This window comes from Homo sapiens, chromosome 4, assembly GCF_000001405.40.
Source record: "Homo sapiens chromosome 4, GRCh38.p14 Primary Assembly".
Lineage (NCBI taxonomy): Eukaryota > Metazoa > Chordata > Mammalia > Primates > Hominidae > Homo > Homo sapiens.
Window position 1 is genome coordinate 143,165,957 of NC_000004.12, and position 21,040 is coordinate 143,186,996.

Here is a 21,040-nt window from a genome sequence, read left to right on the forward strand (position 1 = left end):
GGCAGGAGAACTGCTTGAACCCAGGAAGCAGAAATTACAGTGAGCCAAGTGATCCATAACACTGCACTCCAGCCTAGAAAACAGAGTGAGACTGTCTCAAAAAAAATAAAATCACTAGGAATATTTCCTTTTTGTGTGTTATGAACCAAAGTGCTATATTACACAAGTAAGTTTGTTTCATTGCATTTTGTAGAGATTTCTTCTTTTTCCTTTATTGTGTTCTATAATTAGGTAAAATATTTACATCGTCCTAAAATCAAACATGCAAAACAAATTTTCAAAGAAGTCAAGTCATATGTTCTTCTTCCCTTATGTGTATCCTTTCTAGGGCTTACTCATTTTAAAAAATAAGCAAATACGTGTGTGTGTGTGTGTGTGTGTGTGTGTGTGTGTGTGTGTGTGTGTGTATTTCTACCCCCATGCCTTTGGAGATAAAAGATAGCTTCTTATAAACATCAATACAGCTTCTTTTCCTACCATACTTTTTAAAATTAATAGTAGGGGGTGGAGACAAGATGGCCGAATAAGAACAGCTCCAGTCTACAGCTCCCAGCGTGAGCAACGCAGAAGATGGGTGATTTCTGCATTTCCAACTGAGGTACCAGGTTCATCTCACTGGGGAGTGTCGGAAAGTGGGTGCAGGACAGTGGGTGTAGTGCATCAAGCGTGAGCCAAAGCAGGGCGAGGCATCACCTCACCCGGGAAGCGCAAGGAAGGGGTCAGGGAATTCCCTTTCCTAGTCAAAGAAAGCGGTGACAGACAGCACCTGGAAAATCAGGTCACTCCCACCCTAATACTGTGCTTCTCCAATGGTCTTAGCAAACGGCACACCAGGAGATTATATCCCGCGCATGGCTGGGAGCGTCCTACGCCCACGGAGCCTTGCTCATTGCTAACACAGCAGTCTGAGATCAAACTGCAAGCCAGCAGCGAGGCTGGGGGAGGGGCGCCCACCATTGCCCAGGATTGAGTAGGTAAACAAAGCAGCCAGGACACTCAAACTGGGTGGAGCCTACCGCAGCTCAAGGAGGCCTGCCTGCCTCTGTAGACTCCACCTCTGGGGGTGGGGCATAGCCGAACAAAAGGCAGCAGAAACCTCTGCAGACTTAACATGTCCCTGTCTGACAGCTTTGAAGAGAGTAGTGATTCTCCCAGCACGCAGCTTGAGATCTGAAAACGGACAGACTGCCTCCTCAAATGGGTCCCTGACCCCCGAGTAGCCTAACTGCGAGGCACCCCTCCAGTAGGGGCAGACTGACACCTCACAGAGCCGGGTACTCCTCTGAGACAAAACTTCCAGAGGAACGATCAGGCAGCAACATTTGCTGTTCACCAATATCTGCTGTTCTGAAGCCTCCGCTGCTGATACCCAGGCAAACAGCATCTGGAGTGGACCTCCAGCAAACTCCAACAGACCTGCAGCTGAGGGTCCTGACTGTTAGAAGGAAAACTAACAAACAGAAAGGACATCCACACCAAAACCCCATCTGTACGTCACCATCATCAAAGACCAAAGGTAGATAAAACCACAAAGATGGGGAAAAAACAGAGCAGAAAAACTGGAAACTCTAAAAATCAGAGCACCTCTCCTCCTCCAAAGGAACGCAGCTCTTCACTAGCAACGGAACAAGGCTGGACGGAGAATGACTTTGATGAGTTGTGAGAAGGCTTCAGATGATCAAACTACTCTAAGCTAAAGGAGGAAGTTTGAACCCATGGCAAAGAAGTTAAAAACATTGAAAAACAATTAGATGAATGGCTGACTAGAATAACCAATGCAGAGAAGTCCTTAAAAGACCTGATGGAGCTGAAAACGACGGCACGAGAACTATGTGACGAATGCACAAGCCTCGGTAGCCAACTCAATCAACTGGAAGAAAGGGTATCAGTGATGGAAGATCAACTGAATGAAATGAAGCAAGAAGAGAAGTTTAGAGAAAAAAGAATAAAAAGAAATGAACAAAGCCTCCAAGACATATGGGACAATGTGAAAAGACCAAATCTACGTCTGATTGGTGTACCTGAAAGTGACGGGGAGAATGGAACCAAGTTGGAAAACACTCTGCAGGATATTATCCAGGAGAACTTCCCCAATCTAGCAAGGCAGGCCAACATTCAATTTCAGGAAATACAGAGAACGCCACAAAGATACTCCTCGAGAAGAGCAACTCCAAGACACATAATTGTCAGATTCACCAAAGTTGAAATGAAGGAAAAAATGTTAAGGGCAGCCAGAGATAAAGGTCGGGTGACCCACAAAGGGAAGCCCATCAGACTAACAGCTGATCTCTCGGCAGAAACTCTACAAGCCAGAAGAGAGTAGGGGCCAATATTCGACATTCTTAAAGAAAAGAGTTTTCAACCCAGAATTTCATATCCAGCCAAACTAAGCTTCATAAGCAAAGAGAAATAAAATCCTTTACAGACAAGCAAATGCTGAGAGATTTTGTCACCACCAGGCCTGCCCTAAAAGAGCTCCCGAAGGAAGCACTAAACACAGAAAAGAACAACCGGTACCAGCCACTGCAAAAACATGCCAAATTGTAAAGACCATCGAGGCTAGGAAGAAACTGCATCAACTAATGAGCAAAATAACCAGCTAACATCATAATGACAGGATCAAATTCACACATAACAATATTAACCTTAAATGTAAATGGGCTAAATGCTCCAATTAAAAGACACAGACTGGCAAATTGGATAAAGAGTCAAGAACCATCAGTGTGCTGTATTCAGAAAACCCATGTCATGTGCAGAGACACACATAGGCTCAAAATAAAGGGATGGAGGAAGATCTACCAAGCAAATGGAAAACAAAAAAAAGGCAGGGGTTGCAATCCTAGTCTCTGATAAAATGGAGATCAAAAGAGACAAAGAAGGCCATTACACAATGGTAAAGGGATCAATTCAACAAGAAGAGCTAACTACCCTAAGTATATATGCACCCAATACAGGAGCACCCAGATTCATAAAGCAAGTCCTTAGAGACCTTCAAAGACACTTAGACTACCACACGATAATAATGGGAGACTTTAACACCCCACTGTCAACATTAGACAGATCAACGAGACAGAAAGTTAACAAGGATATCCAGGAATTGAACTCAGCTCTGCACCAAGCGGACCTAATAGACATCTACAGAACTCTCCACCCCAAATCAACAGAATATACATTCTTTTCAGCACCACACCACACCTATTCCAAAATTGACCACATAGCTGGAAGTAAAGCACTCCTCAGCAAACGTAGAAGAACAGAAATTATAACAAACTGTCTCTCAGACAATGGTGCAATCAAACTAGAACTCAGGATTGAGAAACTCACTCAAAACCGCTCAACTACATGGAAACTGAACAACCTGCTCCTGAATGACTACTGGCTACATAATGAAATGAAGGCAGAAATAAAGATGTTCTTTGAAACCAACGAGAACAAAGACACAACATGCCAGAATCTCTGGGACACCTTCAAAGCAGTGTGTAGAGGGAAATTTTTAGCATTAAATGCCCACAAGAGAAAGCAGGAAAGATCTAAAATTGACACCCTAACATCACAATTAAAAGAACTAGAGAAGCAAGAGCAAACACATTCAAAAGCTAGCAGAAGGCAAAAAATAACTAAGATCAGAGCAGAACTGAAGGAGACAGAGACACAAAAAACCCTTCAAAAAATCAATGACTCCAGGAGCTGGTTTTTTTAAAAGATCAACAAAATTGATAGACCGCTAGCAAGACTAATAAAGAAGAAAAGAGAGAAGAATCAAATAGAGCAATAAAAAATGACAAAGGGGATATCACCACCGATCCCACAGAAATACAAACTACCATCAGAGAATACTATAAACACCTCTATGCAAATAAACTAGAAAATCTAGAAATGGATAAATTCCTCGACACATACACCCTCCCAAGACTAAACCAGGAAGAAGTTGAATCTCTGAATAGACCAATAACAGAATCTGAAATTGAGGCAATAATTAATAGCTTACCAACCAAAAAAAGTCCAGGACCAGATGGATTCACAGCCAAATTCTACCAGAGGTACAAGGAAGAGCTGGTACCATTCCTTCTGAAACTATTCCAATCAATAGAAAAACAGGGAATCCTCGCTAACTCATTTTATGAGGCCAGCATCATCCTGATACCAAAGACTGGCAGAGACACAACAAAAAAAGAGAATTTTAGACCAATATCCCTGATGAACATCGATGCAAAAATCCTCAATAAAATACTGGCAAACCGAATCCAGCAGCACATCAAAAAGCTTATCCACCATGATCAAGTGGGCTTCATCCCTGGGATGCAAGGCTGGTTCAACATACAAAAATCAATAAACGTAATCCAGCATATAAACAGAACCAAAGACAAAAACCACATGATTATCTCAACAGATGCAGAAAAGGCCTTTGACAAAATTCAACAGCCCTTCATGCTAAAAACTCTCAATAAATTAGGTATTGATGGGACGTATCTCAAAATAATAAGAGCTATCTATGATGAACCCACAGCCACTATCATACTGAATGGGCAAAAACTGGAAGCATTCCCTTTGAAAACTGGCACAAGACAGGGAAGCCCTCTCTCACCACTCCTATTCAACATAGTGTTGGAAGTTCTGGCCAGGGCAATCAGGCAGGAGAAGGAAATAAAGGGTATTCAATTAGGAAAAGAGGAAGTCCAATTGTCCCTGTTTGCTGATGATGGAATTGTATATCTAAAAAACCCCATCATCTCAGCCCAAAATCTCCTTAAGCTGATAGGCAATTTCAGCAAAGTCTCAGGATACAAAATCAATGTGCAAAAATCACAAGCATTCTTATACACCAATGACAGACAAATAGAGAGCCAAATCATGAGTGAACTCCCATTCACAATTGCTTCAAGGAGAATCAAATACCTAGGAATCCAACTTACAAAGGACTTGAAGGACCTCTTCAAGGAGAACTACAAACCACTGCTCAATGAAATAAAAGAGGATACAAACAAATGGAAGAACATTCCATGCTCATGGGTAGGAAGAATCAATATCGTGAAAATGGCCATACTGCCCAAGGTAATTTATAGATTCAATGCCATCCCCATCAAGCTACCAATGACTTTCTTCACAGAATTCGAAAAAACTACTTTAAAGTTCATATGGAACAAAAAAAGAGCCCACATTGCCAAGTCAATCCTAAGCCAAAAGAACAAAGCTGGAGGCATCACGCTACCTGACTTCAAACTATACTACAAGGTTACAGTAACCAAAACAGCATGGCACTGGTACCAAAACAGAGATATAGACCAATGGAACAGAACAGAGCCCTCAGAAATAATGCCACATATCTACAACTATCTGATCTTTGACAAACCTGACAAAAAAAAGAAATGGGGAAAGGATTCCCTATTTAATAAATAGTACTGGGAAAACTGGCTAGCCATATGTAGAAAGCTGAAACTGGATCCCTTCCTTACACCTTATACAAAAATCAATTCAAGATGGATTAAAGACTTAAATGTTAGACCTAAAACCATAAAAACCTCAGAAGAAAACCTAGGCAATACCATTCAGGACATAGGCATGGGCAAGGACTTCATGTCTAAAACACCAAAAGCAATGGCAACAAAAGCCAAAATTGACAAATGGGATCTAATTAAACTAAAGAGCTTCTGCACAGCAAAAGAAACTACCATCAGAGTAAACAGGCAACCTACAGAATGGGAGAACATTTTTGCAACCTACTCATCTGACAAAGGGCTAATATCCAGAATCTACAATGAACTCAAACAAATTCACAAGAAAAAAAATGAACAACCCCATCAAAAAGTGGGCGAAGGATATGAACAGACACTTCTCAAAAGAAGACATTTATGCAGCCAAAAGACACATGAAAAAATGCTCATCATCACTGGCCATCAGAGAAATGCAAATCAAAACCACAATGAGATACCATCTCACACCAGTTAGAATGGCAATCATTAAAAAGTCAGGAAACAACAGGTGCTGGAGAGGATGTGAAGAAATAGGAACACTTTTACACTGTTGGTGGGACTGTAAACTAGTTCAACCATTGTGGAAGTCGGTGTGGCGATTCCTCAGGGATCTAGAACTAGAAATACCATTTGACCCAGCCATCCCATTACTGGGTATATACCCTAAGGATTATAAAACATGCTGCTATAAAGACACATGCACACGTAAGTTTATTGTGGCACTGTTCACAATAGCAAAGACTTGGAACCAACCCAAATGTCCAACAGTGATAGACTGGATTAAGAAAATGTGGCACATATACAGCACAGAATACTATGCAGCCATAAAAAATGATGAGTTCATGTCTTTTGTAGGGACATGGATGAAGCTGGAAACCATCATTCAGAGCAAACTACCGCCAAGGACAAAAAACCAAACACCACACGTTCTCACTTATAGGTGGGAATTGAACAATGAGAACACATGGACACAGGAAGGGGAACACCACACAACGGGGACTGTCGTGGGGTTGGGGGAGTGGGGAGGGATAGCATTAGGAGATATACCTAATGTTAAATGACGAGTTAATGGGTGCAGCACACAAACATGGCACATGTATACGTATGTAACTAACCTGCACGTTGTGCACATGTACCCTAGAACTTAAAGTATAATAAAAAAACTCTTCAAACTATAAAAAATAAAAAATAAATAAAATTAATAGTATATTCTGAAGATCGCTCTTTTTTTTTTAATGGACTCAATTGTGCAGATTTACTTTATCAGCCATTCCCCTACTCATGGAAACTTGGTTTACTTACAGTAGTCTTTGGTTACTACAAAGACTGCTATCATAAGAAGACTTGCACACATATAGTACATGTGTTTTCATATTTTTACCAGTATGTTTTAAGGATAGATTCCCTCAGGTAAGATTGCTGGATCACATGGAAATGCAGGTAATTTTATTATTGCCAGATTCACCTCTATATATCATTTTACATTCCCATCAGCAATGTATGAGAATGCCTGTTTCTCCACAGCCTCAACAACAAAGCATGTGGTCAAACTTTGGAATTTTTGTCTGACACATGAGAAATACATTTAAGCATAATTTTAATTTACATTTATTTTATTAAGAGTGATGTTGCGTATCTCTTCCCATGGCGGATGGCCATCTCTTTGTAAACTGTTCTAGCCCACTTTTCTATGGAGTTGTTGGCCTTTTTCCAATCTATTTTCAGGAGCTCTTTATATAGTAGGTATATCAAACTCCTTTTTTGCCCATGACTAACCTGCAAATGTTTTTTCCTAACTTGTAATTTATCTTCTATTTTTCTTCTTTCCTCCCATACAAATTATTAATTTTTATGTAATAAACTTTTCCATTTTTTTCCTTATTTTATCTGGATTTTGAGTAACAGTTAGCAAGGTTTCCTCACTTCTAGATTAAAATTAATTCACCTAGGTTTTCTAGTACTTGTATGGTTTTATTTAATTTAAATTTAAATTAAACACATTTAATTTTCCCAATTAAACTGTATATTGAACATAGGTTTAACTCCATGAAAAAAATTACCTGGTGGCACTGTAGTTGTGACTATATTAAATTTCCAAAAAAAATAATAACTTTGGAAAGAATTGACTTTGATAATATTGCAGACTGATATTTTTAAAACATCAAGTCAAATCATGCCATCTCTCTGCTTAAAACCCTCCAATGTCTCTCTACCTCACCTGAAGTACAAGCCAAAGTGTTTGCAATAGCCCATGCTATTTGACTTCCGTTCCTAACAGCCTCCCTTGAAATCACTCCAGCCACACCAGCCATAGCAGTTGCTGGTCCTTCTGTGGGACTACTCTTTCCCCCAGATGTCTGCAGGGTCCTTTGGAGCTTTGCTCAAATGTCACCACTCTTAACAAGCATTTCGTGATCATACTACTTAAAACTGTAATTACTATCACCCCCTTCCCTGAATTACTTTTCCTCATAGCACTTTACACCAACTAACACACTATATGTTTTACTTACTTATCATGCATCTTTGGATCATATTGAATGTAAATTCCATATACCCCACAGAGAATTAAACTGCCAACCAGCAATCGAATTTTTTAATTTAAAAAACAATTTAGTATTCTAAGAAACTTTGTTTAGACCAACTCTATCTGAAGCAGATCTTGTAAGTATTATCACTACCTAAATTGCCCTTGCTTATAATATCAAGTCTTAGGTTACTAATCTAATTAAGATGAATTATTTAGCATCAGACGAATGGACGCTCGCAGAGGTTCACCATGCTTGAATTTTAATCCTAGTCTCCTTGCTTCTTCAGCTATGGCTTTTGCCAGCAGTCTAAGATGCCTTCAATATTTAAGTCTCTCAAAGTGAGTTTCTTTTTATACCATCCCTCCAAAGTCTTTAGTGCAATCCACTATACACTGAGAAATTCATAACCTAGTAAAGTTATAGCTGTGTCAATAAGACGCCTAACTTTTCCCCATCTAGTTTCTCAACCGCAATTTAATGTGGGGAGAGGGTTTGCTTAGATTAATGTACTCAAACGTGGTAATGCAGAAGAATCAATTGGGGTCTACTAACAACACAGATTTCTGTGCCCTACCCCAATTAAAATTTTAATTAATAGATCTGGCAACAACTCAAAAAAGTCACTCAATTTTAGGTGTCTCATTGAGAAAAACTAGCTTTATGTCTATTAGGTAATAGCAATAATGCAATCCACAGAGAAAAAATTGGTTTCTGTTATGGACTGAATTTTTTCCTCCTTCCCCCCCAAAAAAATGTATATGTAGAAGCCCTAAGCCTCAATGGGCATTTGAAGATAGAACCTTTAAGGAGGTAACTGAGGTTAAATGAGGTCATAAAGGTGGGGCCTAATCCAATAGAACCCATGTTCTTATAAAAAGAGAAACCAGAGATCCTTCTCTCTCCTGTCATGCACAGAGGAAAGGCCACGTGAAAACACAGCAAGAAGACAGCTATCTGCAATTTAGGAAGAGAGCACTCACCAGAAACTAACGCTACTGGCATCTTGATCTTGGACTTCCAGCCTCCAGAACTGTTAGAAGATAAATTTCTGCTGTTTAAGCCACCCAGTCTATGGTATTTTGTTATGGCAGCCCAAGCTGACTGAGACAATTACTCTCTAGATTATTTTTCATAAAGAATCTGTCACAGCAATTCCAACTGATAGAGGGCCCATGTTGGAATCCTTATTACACAGAATTCAAATAGATATATATATAATCCCTACATTTTAATCGTATTTAATAAATACTAGAACTAAAACCCTTATTTCTAGCAACAATGATTTATTAATAACTTGTTTCCCATTTACATCTAGTTAGATAAGAGCAAGAATTAATGTGTAGTAGGCCTCATAGGCTGCATAGGCCACTGTCTATGCATAGTCATGAATCCATTTGCCTCTTAAAACATAATCCTGGCTGGGCACAGTGGCTCACACCTGTAATCCCAACATTTTGGGAGGCTGAGGCAGGCGGATCACCTGAGGCCAGAATTTCCAAGGCCAGCCTGGCCAAGTTCAAGACCAGCCTGTTGAAACCCTGTCTCTACTAAAAATACAAAAATTAGCCAGGCATTGTGGTGCACGCCTGTAATCTCAGCTACTTGGGAGGCTGAGGCAGGAGAATTTCCTGAACCCAGGAGGCGGAGATTGCAGTGAACTGAGATCATGCCACTTCATTCCAGCCTGGGCAACAGAGCGGGTCTCTGTCTCAAAAATAAATAAATAAATAAAAAACATGATGTCGGAAGTTCCAATCTCTTAGTTTCTAAATATTATGGAGTTTGGGGTTTGTTTCGGTGGGGAAGATCAAACAGGGCAGACTAAAGTCACCTAATTGAAAGTACAGGCCACTTATGGCCAGGGTTGGTTTTTTAAGGGGTGTTGTGTTTTAAACTTTTTTTTCAATTAGAATGTTTATTTAAGATCTTTTCTCTTTTTTGCCATAAGCATTTCTTGCTGTAAATGTCCCTTTTAGGACTGCTTTTGGTGCAAAAAAGAGCCTGCATTGCCAAGTCAATCCTAAGCCAAAACAACAAAGCTGGAGGCATCATGCTACCTGACTTCAAACTATACTACAAGGCTACAGTAACCAAAACAGCATGGTACTGGTACCAAAACAGAGATATAGACCAATGAAACAGAACAGAGTCCTCAGAAATAATGCCACATATCTACAATTATCTGATCTTTGACAAACCTGACAAAAACAAGAAATGGAGAAAGGATTCCCTATTTAATAAATGGTGCTGGGAAAACTGGCTAGCCATATGGAGAAAGTTGAAACTGGATCCCTTCCTTACACCTTATACAAAAATTAATTCAAGATGGATTAAAGACTTAAATGTTTTAAACTTTTTAATTTTGAAATCATTATACAGTCACACGAAGTTGCAAAGATAATACAGAGAAATCCTCTGTACTCTTCACTCAGTTATACCTCAATGTTACCTCTTACATAACTATAGCATAATATCACAATCAGGAAATTGATATTGATACAACATATGTATAATTCCATGCCACTTTACCACACATGGAGTCATGCAACAGTCGCAATCAAGGTACAGAACTATTCTATCACCACAAGAATTACCCTCATTCTACCCCTTTATTAAAAGTTCTACTCATCCCTCTGCCTCTCCCATCTATACCTAGCCCTTGGCAACCACTAATCTGTTCTTCATCTCTAAAATTTCCTCATATTGAGAATGTCGTACAAATGGAATCACATAGTATGTGACTTTTGAGATTAGTTTTCTTCACTTGGCATAAAAATGCCCTTGAAATCCATCCAAGTTGTGTCCATCAATAGTTTCTTTCTTTTTATTGCTAAGTAATATTCCACAGTAAGAATGTACCACAGTTTGTTTAGCCATTCAGCATACTGATGACCATAGTTTGTTTAGCCATTCACCTACTGATGACAATTTTGATTGTTTTTGGTTGTTGGCTATTGCAGATAAAGCTGCTTTGGACATTTGTGTATATGTATTTGTGTGAACATAAGTTTTCATTTCTCTGGAATAAATACCTAGTAGTTCAACAGTTTGATCATATGATAGCTGCATGTTTAATTTTTAAGAAACTTCCAAACAATTCTCCAGAGTGGTTAAACCATTTTGCATTTCCACTTGCAATGTATGAGAAATCAGTTTGTCTGCATCTTTGCCAGCATTAATGTTGTCACCATTTTTTATTTTAGTGGTTCTCTAATAAATGTGTTATAATATCTCATGGTCTTAATTTGCATTTCCCTATTAGCTAGAAATGTTAAACAACTTTCCATTTGTTTGCCATATGTAAATCCTCTTCATTGAAATGTGTCTTGAAATCTTTTGCCCATTTTTAATTGGATTGATTTCTTTACTGTTGATTTTAATTTTTTATTGTGGTAAAATATAACCTAAAATTTACCATTCTTAAGTGTACAGTTCGGTGGCATTAAGTACACACTGTTGTGCAATCATCACCACTATCCATTTACAGAACTTTTCATTCTTTGAAAGAGAAACTCTGTACCTATTAAACAATAACTCCCCATTTATTTTCTCCCTAGCCCCTAGAAACCTCTAATTTGACTATTCCAAGCACCTCATATGAAGTGGATATTTATCCACATGTGAGAGCTGTCTCTGATTTTCCAAATTCTTACAAGGTAAAAACCTTGGCAGTCATCAAATCTTATAGTCTTGGGTGCCACCATCTTGTTTACATTAATTACCAACCTGAGTGGGTAGGGAGGAGTCCCCTGATAGTTTCTACTTTGACCTTCTTCTCTTTGCATAGTAGCCCATCCCAGCCATATTAATTTCCAGAAATGGGACCAGCCCATGTTTTCTTTTTAGATTCATCTCAGAGTTAATTTTAAGGGTTCCTCAGGTGACCCATGTACTTTCCACTGGTCTTTTTCCCACCCTTCCAGGGTCTCTTTTACCAGTCCCTTGACAAGTATAGTGAGTCCACCCCCATTCAGCTGTACATATGGCCATCTCAGGGGTCAGCAGCACTTGACAGGGACCTTCTCAGCTTGGGTGGAGCTTGTCTTCTTTCCAAGTCTTAATCAGCACCTAGTCGCCAGGCTGGAAGTGGCAAACTGCAAACTCAAGAGGAGGAGTTTGAGTCAGAAGTCCTTTTAACCTAAGGGATGACAGGGTGGAGGATAATGACTGTATATAATTTCTTAAGAACTGATCCTTGGTTTCCATAGTAGGAAGATCTGTAGCTCTGCCCAAATACAGGAGCCCATATAATAACTCATAGGGGGACAATCCCAAGTCTTTTCTTGGGACTTCCTAAGGAGTGCTATTGGGAGACATTTTGTCCAAGGCATTTTAGTTTATTAGTTTGGTGAAATGCTTTTTGAGAGTTTCAGTCATTCCTTCTACCTTTCCAGAGGAAGGGGGATGCCAAGGGGTGTAATAATCCCATCTAATTTGTAAACCTTCCATAATTCCCCTTAACACCCGGGAGGTAAATTGGCTGCCATTGTCTGAATCAACGTTTTTCACCAGGCCAAATCTAGGTACAGTCTGTTATAATATTATTTTGACTACATTCCTGGCAGTGGCTGTTGGAAGGGGAAAGGCTTCCACCCAGCTGGAAAGGTAACCTATAATCACCAGTAAATACTTCAGTCTTCCTACTTTGGGTATTTATGTGAAATCTACTTGAATGCTCTGAAATGGTCTTAGTCCAGGAGGTCTTCCTCCCATGAACTGTTTTCTAATCACCTCTTTGTTTATCCTTTGACAAGTTACACAACTTCCACATACTTGTTTAGCGAGGGTATAAATCCCTATCTATCCATAATTCTTAAATATTGCATCACACGGACTCTGGGGTCCCCAGTGACTCCCTTTGGGGAGTAATACAGACATCAGTTCTCTCATCAGGGGTTTACTTATCATTTCTCTCCCATCAGAAAGTACCCATTTCCCATCTTCAGTTTGAGTGACCCCTATCCTGCCTAATTCTTCCTTCTTCTCTCTGGTAAACTGAGGCCTTAATACCACCTTAGGGATGTCTGGTATCAGGCTAAATAGTCTAATTTCTTCCTCCAGGGAGGCTTGCCTAGCAGCTTCATCCACAAACCTGTTTCCTACAGCTTCTATAGTGTTCCCGTTCTGATGATCATTTACATGAACTATGGCTACCTCTGCTGGAAGCAGGAGACTTTCTAAAACCTGTTTGACCAGTTCCCCGTGTACCAATTCTTTTCCCTTGCTATTTATTAGGCCCCGCTCTGTCCAGATTTTTCCAAAAGTGTGTACCACCCCATAGGCACATTTAGAATCAGTATATATATTTCCTTCCTGGCCTTCAAGGAGCTTTAGGGCCTGGTCAAGAGCATGTAATTCACATTTTTGGGCCGACCAGCCATTAGGTAATCTACCTTTCTCACATAATGAGTGTTTATTTCCATCAAAGACAGCATAACCATTAAGTCCCTTGCCATCTATCACTCCGGATGACCCATCCACAAACAGTCTAATCCATCACGTAGTGGAGCTTCCCTAAGGTCTGGTCTAACTTTGGCTTGGTATTCTATGGTATCTAAGCAGTTATGATCTGATGTCTCTTTGTTCTGGTCTCCTTTCCATAGGACACTGGCTGGATTCAGGCAAGTATCTGGTGTTACAACCAAATAATCTTTTTCTAGTAATATGGCTTCATATTTTAGAATCTGAGAATCCACTAACCATCTCCCAGCTTTCTGATTTAATATATTCCTGACCTGGTGTGGGGTGTTTACTATTAGGGCCCCACCAAACATTAGCTTTCGACTCTCCTCTACCAGCAGGGCTGTCGCAGCTACTGCTTGCACACATTCAGATCACCCCTGAGAGACAGGATCGAGAAGCTTGGAGACAAAAGCAACAGGTTGCCTCTTCCCTCCCCAGGTTTGAGTGAGCACCCCAAGGGCCATGCCCCGGTCTACTGTTACAAACAGATAGAATGGTTTCTCTAAAGATGGGAGGGCCAGGACCAGGACTGTAATGAGGGCCTGCTTTAGCTCTTTCACTGCCTTAATTTCATCTAGGGACCATTACAAGGGATTGGGCTCCTCTTCTAGTAACTTGAGATACAGAATTTTGTCTTTTAAGCATATGAGTCAATCCATAACCTACTGTAGCCAGTTAAACCTAAAAATTTTTGGAGTTTTCTCTTTGTCTTAGGCAAAGGCAAACCCACTATTCCCAATATTCTGAGTTTATTATCCACTTCCCTTCACCAATCAGGTGTCCTAAATATTTAACTTCTTTTTCTACAAACTGCAATTTGTTCTTAGAGACTCGCAATCCCCTTTCTCAAAGAAAATAAGGCAAGATTATGGTGGTTTCTGATCACTCGGCCTTCCTTTTGCCAGATATTAAAAGTTCATCTACATATTGTAACAACTGGGTTCCCCTGGAAGGTTGGAATTCCTCCAGGACTAAGATTTGACCAAATAAGTTTGGGGCTTCTGTGAAACCCTGTAGCAGTACAGTCCAGTGGTACTGTTGTTTTCTCCCAGTTATAGAATTTTCTCATTTCTTTTTTGCCTATGAACATCCAGTTACTCCAGCACCATTTGTTGAAAACACCATCCTTCCTTCACTGAATGGCTTTTGAATCTCTGTCAAAAATCAGTTTGGTGTATTTGTGTGGGTCTAGGTTATTGTTGCCCATTTCACTGATCTATGTGTCTCTCTGCCATTACCATACTGTCTTAATTACCCTGGCATACAATGAGTATTATTTTTGGGTAGTGATATGGTTTGGCTCTGTCCCTACCCAAATCTTATCTTGAATTGCAATGCCCATAATCCCCACGTGTTGAAGGAAGAAACAGGTGGATATAATTGAATCATGGGGGCAGGTTCCCCCTTCCTGTTCTCGTGATATAAGTTCTCACGAGATCTGATGATTTTATAACAGGGTTCCCCCTTAGCTCAGCTCTCGTTCTTCTCCTTCCTGCTGCCATGTGAAAGGATATGTTTGCTTCCCCTTCCACCATGATTTTAAGTTTCCTGAGGCCTCCCCAGCCATGCTGAACTGTGTTTATAAACCTTTCCTTTATAAATTACCCAGTCTCAGATACGTCTTTATTAGCAGCATAAGAACAAACACAGGTAAAATGATCCCTCTCACTTAATTCCTCCTTTTCAGAATTGTTGAAGCTACTCTGATTTGTTTTTCCAAATACATTTTAGAATAATCTTGCCTGTATATGAAGAAGAAAAAAAAAACCTGCCTGGAGTTTTAATAGGAATTGTATTAAACCTGCATATCGATTTAGAGATCATTAACATCTACACTATGGTGAGTCCTCCAATCCATGTATATGGTCATTTATTTAGATCTTCGATTTCTTTCATCAGTGTTTTGTTGTTTTCAGCATGAGTCCTGTACATCCACTGTCAGATTTACACCTACATAGTTTTTATTTTGAGCAATTATCAATGGTATATTTTTAATTTTGGTTTCCATGTGTTCATTGCTAGTACATAAAAGTACAACTGATTTTTGTCTATTATCTTATATTCTGAAACCCTGCTGAGTTTGTTTTTTAGTTCTAGAAATTACTGTGTAGACTCCTTACGACTTTTTCTAAACCATGTTTTTCATTTCATTTTTTAAAAGTTCATTCATTCAAAAAATAGTTAGATTGAACTGGGCATGGTGGCTCACGTAATCCCAGCACCTTGGGATGCTGAGATGGGAGGATCATTTGTGTCAGGAGTTCAAGACCAGCCTGGCCAACATGGTGAAACCCCATCTCTACTAAAAATACAAAAATTAGCCAGGTGTGGTGGTGGGTGCCTATAATCCCAGCTACTCAGGAGGCTGAGGAAGAAGAATTGCTTGAACCCAGGAAGTGGAGATTGCAGTGAGCTGAGACTGCAGTGAGCTGAGATCACACCACTGCACTCCAGCCTGGGCAACAGAGTGAGAGACTTCATCTCACAGACAAAAAAAATTGATAGATTGTTTACCCTAGTGTTCTAACTGCTAGATATAGAAGTAACTAATAAAATTAAGGGGTTCTTTTTGACCTCATGAAGCTTAGATTCTAGAGAACAGAAAAAGGCTGTAAACATATAATAAATGAGAACAGTAGGAAAAGACACAAGAGCAACTTGATGGAGGGCCTTAAAGTCAACAGTAGCCATTTGAATTTTAAGAGGAGAAGCACTGGAAGATTTAAAATAGGGTAGTGAGGCTGCTCTGCCTATGAAGTAGCCAATGGTATATTTTTAATTTTTAATTGTCTTTTATTCCTTTACTTTCTTAATAAACTTGCTTTCACTTTGCACTGTGAAAAAAATTAAATGAAATAGTGTCGTAAGATTAGCTTGATGTCCATTTTAAGTCATTAAAACAAAAACCATATCAAAGTGGTTGGTGTGTTTCTTTACAGTCTTTTTTTCTTTACAACTTAAAAAACATATGAATATAAATTTCATAAAGTCAGGGATTATTTGTAATTACTTCATATGATGGTTTATTTATCACAGTCCTCTCTAATCTATACAATCAGTTTGCTTTTGATTCTATTAGGTGATATAAATTTCCTAAGAGAAAACTAACCTCACAATAATGTTATTGCAGTTGGCCAACTCTAACCACTGCTTTTGGAACTGCCTTTTCTCTTTGCTTATCACAAACATAAACACATACACACACTTTTCATCTAATAGTATGATGGAAATAATAGAGACTCTAGAGTCAGACTTGATTATTTTTTTTAACCTCCTTTGGCTTCAATACCTTATCTATAAAATGTAGCTATTAACATCTATTTCCAAAACCCCGTTTTGAGAACTAAGGATAAAGTGTAATATATTGAGTTCCAGGCACACAGAGGTTGCTAAATAAACAATCACTCCTTATCCTGTGCTTTTTCTCTTTCATCCCCATCACTCAGCTTCCATTCTCAGATCTAACATATTTGTAAAACCATGTAGTTGGCAATTGAGGCCTTAGACTAAATCTTTATATGAAATTTTAAAGCCCATTACAATAGCACCCACTAATCCAATGATTAGTGGCATGATTCACTGCAAAAAAATCTTCCACAGACTTCTGAAAATATTTTAAAATGTTAAAAAGGAACATGGTATTATTATAGAACTTTTAGTTATGCTATAAAATAAATTTAAAGTTGGCCACTTTCAATTGAAATCTTATAAAAGAGCATATTACATACATTTTTTAACCAGTGGCAAAAGAAGGAAATAAGCGTTGAATATCTTGGTATAAAAACCTAGTATTTCATTTCATGCATCTATCATTCAAGAGGTATTTTAAAAATACAGAGTCATGGTGCTTTTGGAAGTCTAATATTATGACATGTAATTTATATGGACTAATAGCACTATGTTCTCTCAGACATCTTATTTTGTAATATTCAATTTTTCAAGACCTAATATTAACAGAAAGAAGAAAATGTTATAGACAATTCAAAGTAATCTGTCAAGTTTTAAATTTACCAATATTTTTTTCTTGTCTACTTTGGAATAATCACTTCGCTGGTACTATTCAGCAATCTTCATTCGTCCTGTTAGTTTCTTAGCACAAAGATTAATTCCAAATTTCCTCCACTCCACCTCAAATCCACGATCCTTCTTAATACTTAATTCCTTCTTAATATTTTATTTTCTATATTACCTTTGTCTTCCACTGTGGCATTATTCCCAGTAAAGACAAACATCTGTGTACCTTCACCTCCTATTGGAAAAATCATTCCTGTCTCTAGCATGACTGATAGATTAATTACCTCAATTCTCTTTTATCTTCCGTATCTTCCTACGAGTCAACTTGGTCTTAAGTTCCCTTTTACTCAAGCTCCTGTCTCCTCTAAACTGCTCTTCTTAAGACTACCATAATCGACGTGTGAATATATTAGTGTAATCGTGTTTGTAACTTGGTAAAAAAACAAAACACTATTTAGCAAACTGAAGTAACAGAATTTTGTTCATTTTTCTACGGGACATTTTAAATGACCTATTTCTTTAAAGTTTTGTCTGTATTACAGGGCCTTAATGTCTAGTTTCACAACTATATTAACCAAGCCTGAAGCAGGCTACAGTTAGGCAATATTTTCCAATATAAAGACCTCTGATTAAATTCTTACTGTGAATCTTCGGAATTTGGCATGAAACAGAACAAGCATGATTGCACCTGTTCTTCCCTATTGTAAACCATCTTCGGTGTCAACATATACAATAAGTTTTGTGGTATTTCCACCTGGTTTTCTATTTTCAAAGTACCCTTGTATGACACAGGTATAAAAATATTTTGATTCTAATCTGCCATTTTCCTTACTCTCACACTTTTTTGGACGGCTTATAATTTTCGATATGGTACAAAGCTCACTAACTGGTTCTTTGCTAGAGGCCTGCTACTGATACTGATGGTCGCTAAATGCTAGGTACGCCGCCAGTATTGCTCTTACTTCAATACCGACATCGCAGGATAAAGGCAGTCACATTTAGGCGCGCAAGCGCAATTCTTGATTAATGAGCCAAGGCAGACTTCTCAATCCGAGTTTTGAGTTTTCCTTACTTTTCCCCCAAATGCTCTTTTCCTCGGATTTCACATCGATAGCACTTATTCGAGTTTTCACGAGTAACCTGACGCAGGCGGAACCGACGAAGACTAGCCGGCAAGAATCCTACAGTCGCAGCCATCTGCGCAGCGTCCGCCGGGGACGCTCCGCGCGGAAGACCGCCTGTGACTCGACACACTCTCCAGTGACGCGGCCGTCGCCGCACCTGCGCGGCGGGGCGGGAAGGAGACTCCCAGCGCCGGGGGGAAGGGAGTCTACGACTCGGGAGGGAGGTGGGGGAGCAGGGAGGGAGAGAGGGAACAAGGGAGAAGGAGAGAGGCGGACAGGCGGAGGGGCGGAGGGGCAGAGGGGCGGAGGGGCGGTCCTTCCGGAGGTTCTTAGGTCCTTCACTTCCTGTTTGCCGGCACTTCAAAATCCGGGTCAAAGGGTGTCGCTTCGGTCTCTTCTCCCCGGCTGATCCCAGCACTCTCCGTGACAGCGCCTCCTGACTCAGCCCAGGACCGGCTTCTTCTCACGACCTGCTGGAGACTGGACGCCCACACCTGACCCGGAACTCGGAGGCGTGCTTCCTCCACCCGCCGGCTAGCAGCCCCGGGCCCTGAGCTCCCGCCGACGCCGCTGGGGGGCCCGACAGGCCCCTCGGCGCTGATGCTGAGTGGGATCGAGGGCCCGGGGCGGCGGCGGAGTACGGGCCTCTGGCGCCTTAGGCCAGCCGCAGGTGTCGGTTCTTAGGCTCTCCAGGCTCGCTAGCTCCCGCCCCGGCTTGGATGGGTCTCCCTGCGCCATAAATGTGGCTGCTGAGGCGGCGGTGGCCGTGGCCCGTCGCGCTGCTGCTGCGGCGCTCCAAGTTCATCTCCGCCCCGGGGCTCTCCTGCCCCACCTCGGGGCTGCCGCCACCCGCTCCTTATCCCCTGGCCCTGGCCTTGCAGCGTGGCGACAATGGACAAGATCCTGGAGGGCCTTGTGAGTTCCTCGCATCCCCTGCCCCTCAAGCGGGTGATTGTGCGGAAGGTGGTGGAATCGGCGGAGCACTGGCTAGACGAGGCGCAGTGCGAGGCCATGTTTGACCTGACGACCCGGCTCATCCTGGAGGGCCAGGACCCTTTCCAGCGGCAGGTGGGGCACCAGGTGCTGGAGGCCTACGCACGATACCACCGGCCAGAGTTCGAGTCCTTCTTCAACAAGACCTTCGTGTTGGGCCTCCTTCATCAGGGCTACCACTCTCTGGACAGGAAGGATGTAGCCATCCTGGACTACATTCACAACGGCCTGAAGCTGATTATGAGCTGTCCGTCGGTGCTGGATCTCTTTAGCCTCCTGCAGGTAGAGGTGTTACGGATGGTGTGTGAGAGGCCGGAGCCGCAGCTCTGTGCCCGACTGAGCGACCTTCTGACCGACTTTGTGCAATGCATCCCCAAGGGGAAATTGTCCATCACGTTCTGTCAACAGCTGGTTCGAACGATAGGCCATTTCCAGTGCGTGTCCACCCAGGAAAGAGAGCTGCGGGAATATGTCTCCCAGGTGACAAAAGTGAGTAACTTGCTGCAGAACATCTGGAAGGCCGAGCCTGCCACACTACTGCCTTCCCTGCAAGAAGTTTTTGCAAGCATCTCTTCCACAGGTAAGGGTCATTATCTTTCAGAATATCTCATAAAAAATCAGTATATGTCTCTCTTGCACACACACATTCACACCATGTTTTCCTCCTGCCCTAAAAACATTCTTAAGCGAGAGCAAATCCTAATACCTCATCCCAAATTTATTCACATTCACTACCTTATTCAGGACGTCACATCGTACTTTAAAAACAGGCAGCGTTCCCATTTTAAAGGTTGAGAACGTCCAGGTCTAAGACCTTTGGCACTAAACAAGTTGCTTAATTACCCAGCCTCTGCTCAAGTTATTTGGAATGCTTTGAGGATGACAGCTACTGCAGAAAGCTTCCATTCATTAGTGACTAATGGTAGCATGATGTTTACCATAGTATTTATTGTACGTGTCTCTAATTTTGTAATGAGTTTTTCCCCCATTTTTGTATTTCCTCATTTTTGAATTAATGGATTGTGCAGTTTGTTTTATTACTGGATTATCCCAGATAACTATGAAGTTTTTAAATAGTGACATTTTTTGTCTACAGTATCTAGTAGACAAAGGAGGAATACAGATAGAATGAGGGAAGGAAGAGTACGAGGATTTAAATATTTGTTTTTGTGCCCATGAACTGCATTCTCAGAAAGCAGAGAAGGGTCACATGATACTTGCCTAGAAAATGCTTTCTCGCCGAGGAATTTTACCAGTACCTCTACCTTCGTTGTTCTGTCTTGGACCTTTCAGGTCTGAATAGATTCAAAATCATGTTCATTTCCGCTCTACTTGGTACAAGCATTCTCCTTCATTTATAACACCAGTGGGGACTGTGTGGCTGTTCAAATTGAACTTGTGAGGGATGTGTCCTCTTCTTATCTTAAGAACCAGAAGTAAAGGT

General features: G+C 40.7%; 1 protein-coding gene and 1 long non-coding RNA gene across 6 annotated transcripts in view, besides 5 other annotated features; one reads left to right on the top strand and one right to left on the bottom strand.

Annotated features, from left to right (window-relative positions):
- The window catches only part of USP38-DT (USP38 divergent transcript), a 396,420-nt gene extending 377,515 nt beyond the window's left edge, over nucleotides 1-18,905 (bottom strand). The window contains exons 1-2 of one of the 2 annotated variants that reach the window (NR_136203.2): nucleotides 18,552-18,905; nucleotides 10,341-12,140 (exon numbers count right to left, since the gene is read on the bottom strand). This is a non-coding gene — a long non-coding RNA (USP38 divergent transcript). Of the gene's footprint in view, nucleotides 1-10,340; nucleotides 12,141-18,551 lie in introns of those variants that run through there. The other variant, NR_185979.1, reaches the window with a different exon arrangement.
- Nucleotides 860-1,154: an enhancer, noted in NCBI's record as "tiled region #2118; K562 Activating DNase unmatched - State 4:PromP, and HepG2 Activating DNase matched - State 4:PromP". NCBI's record gives its function as "activates a minimal TATA promoter and a strong SV40 promoter by Sharpr-MPRA in K562 cells, with weaker activation in HepG2 cells {active_cell/tissue: HepG2 | K562}" and the evidence as "EXISTENCE:reporter gene assay evidence [ECO:0000049][PMID:27701403]".
- Nucleotides 18,011-18,896: an enhancer, noted in NCBI's record as "NANOG-H3K27ac-H3K4me1 hESC enhancer chr4:144105120-144106005 (GRCh37/hg19 assembly coordinates)". NCBI's record gives its function as "activates a minimal SCP1, AML or CMV promoter by ChIP-STARR-seq in naive H9 embryonic stem cells {active_cell/tissue: H9 hESC(naive)}" and the evidence as "EXISTENCE:reporter gene assay evidence [ECO:0000049][PMID:30033119]".
- Nucleotides 18,833-18,882: a silencer, noted in NCBI's record as "silent region_15716". NCBI's record gives its function as "represses an Ori minimal core promoter by ATAC-STARR-seq in GM12878 lymphoblastoid cells {active_cell/tissue: GM12878}" and the evidence as "EXISTENCE:reporter gene assay evidence [ECO:0000049][PMID:35858748]".
- Nucleotides 18,897-19,781: an enhancer, noted in NCBI's record as "NANOG-H3K27ac-H3K4me1 hESC enhancer chr4:144106006-144106890 (GRCh37/hg19 assembly coordinates)". NCBI's record gives its function as "activates a minimal SCP1, AML or CMV promoter by ChIP-STARR-seq in primed H9 embryonic stem cells {active_cell/tissue: H9 hESC(primed)}" and the evidence as "EXISTENCE:reporter gene assay evidence [ECO:0000049][PMID:30033119]".
- USP38 (ubiquitin specific peptidase 38) overlaps nucleotides 18,961-21,040 on the top strand; it is a 38,958-nt gene continuing 36,878 nt past the window's right edge. For all 4 annotated transcript variants that reach the window (NM_001290326.1, NM_032557.6, NM_001410848.1 and 1 more), the window contains exon 1: nucleotides 18,961-20,176. Coding sequence is in view for 3 of the 4 variants with exons in the window: in NM_032557.6 (NP_115946.2) it covers nucleotides 19,495-20,176 (682 nt within the window). In the remaining variant the exon portion in view is untranslated. The remainder of the gene's footprint in view (nucleotides 20,177-21,040) is intronic.
- Nucleotides 19,103-19,352: a silencer, noted in NCBI's record as "silent region_15717". NCBI's record gives its function as "represses an Ori minimal core promoter by ATAC-STARR-seq in GM12878 lymphoblastoid cells {active_cell/tissue: GM12878}" and the evidence as "EXISTENCE:reporter gene assay evidence [ECO:0000049][PMID:35858748]".